The sequence below is a fragment of the Homo sapiens genome, chromosome 8 (assembly GCF_000001405.40).
Source record: "Homo sapiens chromosome 8, GRCh38.p14 Primary Assembly".
NCBI classification, from domain to species: Eukaryota; Metazoa; Chordata; class Mammalia; order Primates; family Hominidae; genus Homo; species Homo sapiens.
Window position 1 is genome coordinate 63135795 of NC_000008.11, and position 2760 is coordinate 63138554.

The 2760-nt window shown below is 41.4% G+C and overlaps 1 pseudogene; it reads right to left on the bottom strand.

Annotated features, from left to right (window-relative positions):
- Positions 1 to 612: 612 nt before the first annotated feature.
- On the bottom strand, positions 613 to 2290 carry TARDBPP4 (TARDBP pseudogene 4; annotated as a pseudogene).
- Between the last annotated feature and the right edge of the window lie 470 nt (positions 2291 to 2760).

The following is a 2760-nucleotide window of genomic DNA, read 5'->3' on the forward strand; positions in this document are numbered from 1 at the left end:
CTTGTAGACAGGAAGTATTCCTATGGCAGAATATTTACAGCATTACTTTCAATGAAGTGCTTCTTCCATAAACATTTGAAATGAGATGAACTGCAGAGATTAAATGAAGGCTATTGTGCTTTTGTATATGAGAGAAGAAAAGTGTTAAGAAACAAAAGAACTAAATGCTGTGACACCATGATCTCCCAAAAGGAGATTTTCTTAAGGAAAAAAATCCATATGGTGGGGTTCAAATTAAAACAAGGAGTAAAGAATGTAGTTCTAATCAATGGTTTCCATTTTGAACATGCAAAGAATTCACTTGACAAGTCCAGGGATAAAATATTACAGAAGCCTTTTGATATCAACTGTAGTGTGTTGGTTTACCAATCAGGCAAACAGCAGTTCACTTTCAACCACAATATTTCAATCCTTTACGTAACAAAACGTAAAATTCCTTTAGCTCTTCTTTTTTCTAAAGAAAAATGTCAAAAATACTACTGAATATACTACACACTGAACAAACCAATTTTGAAAATTCTTAGTACATATGTATTTTACAATATACTTACCATGAGTTTAGAAAAATTTGAATTCCCACCATTCTGTACCAAGCAACCACAACCCCACCATCTACATTCCCCAGCCAGAAGACTTAGAATCCATGCTTGAGCCAAAGCCTTCTTTAAAACCACTGCCCCACCCTGCTTTTGATGCTGATCCCCAACCAATTGCTGCCCCAGAATTAGAACCACTATGAGTTATTTCCAGAATCGAAGGCCTGGTTTGGCTCCCTCTGCATGTTGCCTTGGCTTTGGTTATTACACAATGGGCCTGACTGGCTCTGCTGGCTGGCTAACATGCCCATGATACCCCAACTGCTCTGTAGCACTGCCTGGGCTGCAGCCATCATGGCTGGATTAATGCTGAACTCACCAAAGTTTATCCCACCACCCATAATACTACCTTGGTTGTTTCCCAAACCAGCTCCATCCCCTCTACTATTACCAAATCCACCCTGATTCCCAAAGCCACCTGGATTACCACCAAATCTTCCACTTCTTTCTATTGCTATTGTGCTTAGGTTGGCATTGGGTATTTTAACACTGATTCCTTTAATGATCAAGTCCTCTCCACAAAAAGATTGTGCAACCCACATATGTTTATTGCAGCACATTCACAATAGCAAAGACTTGGAACCAACCTAAACGTCCAACAATGATAGACTGGATTAAGAAAATGTGGCACATATACACCATGGAATACTATGCAGCCATAAAAAAGGATGAGTTCATGTCCTTTGTAGGAACATGGATGAAGCTAGAAACCATCATTCTGAGCAAACTACCGCGAGGACAGAAAACCGAACACCGGATGTTCTCACTCAGAGGTGGGAATTGAACAATGAGAACACCTGGACACAGGGAGGAGAGCATCACACACCCAGGCCTGTCAGGTGGTGCGGGGCTGGGGGAGCGGTAGCATTAGGAGAAATACGTAATGTAAATGATGAGCTGACGGGTGCAGCAAAACAACATGGCACATGTATACCTATGTAATAAACCTGCATGTTGTGCACATGTACCCTAGAACATAAAGTATAATAAAAATTAAAAAAAGAGAGAGATTGAGCAACCTGATCATCTGCAAATGTAACAAAGGCAAAGGCCCTGAACGGCTTGGGGATGAAGACATCCACCACTTCCCCGTACTGACAGAAGAACTGCGACAGCTCATCCACAGTTATGTTCTCTGTACTGCCCCAAAAACACTTTTCTGCTTCTCAATGTTCATCTGGGCTTTGCTTAGAATTAGCAAGTTTACAGTCACACCATTGTCCATCCATCATATGTCAATGTGACATTACTTTCACCTGTGTTTCATATTCTATAAAATGAATAAAGCCAAACCCCTTTGAATGACCAGTCTTAATATCTTTCTTGACCTGCACCGTAAGAACTTCTCCAAAGGTACTAAAATATTCTTTCAGATCCTGTTCAGTTGTTTTCCACGGGACACCCAAAACTTTTCACTTTCACTGCTGATGAAGCATCTGTCTCATCCATTTTGCTTTTGTTGTCTTTGGGATAGTTGAAAACATACACCAGATTTCCCCAGCCAGCATCGGGGGCATGTAGAATTCCTTCTACCAGCCGGAAACCTCTCATACATTGAGACACTGGATTCCTGTAGCAAAGCCCATGTGCCCCTGGGCTGTAACAGTGGACAGCAGCACCGTCCCTTCGTCCTCTGAAGGTATTTAAATGGGCTCATTGTTCTCATCTTTGGTTACCCGAATATATTCAGACATCTTTTACTTTTCTGCTAGGCTGCTGCTGGGAATCCCAACAGGGACACTGAGGCAGCAACAGATCCAAGCACAGCCCAACAACCACTTCACTCCCACAAAATGCTAGGGGCTTTTTATCAACTCTATAAAGACAACATCAATTCCTCAAGCAGTCTATTCATATCTGAAAATATGGCATTCCAATCAAAGCCTTGGTAAAATAACCAGTGTCTCCAGTGTCCTGTTACAAAAGAAAACATATTCTTATTGAACTTATGCAAATAACTACAGTGTCATAAAATAATACTCATGAATAGTTTTTATTTTTTATTTGTTTATTTATTTATTTTGGAGACAGAGTTTCGTTTTTGTTGCCCAGGCTGGAGTGCAGTGGCACGATCTCAGCTCACCGCAACCTCCACCTCCCGGGTTCAAGCAATTCTCCTGCCTCAGCCACCCAAGTAGCTGGGATTACAGGCATGCACCACCAC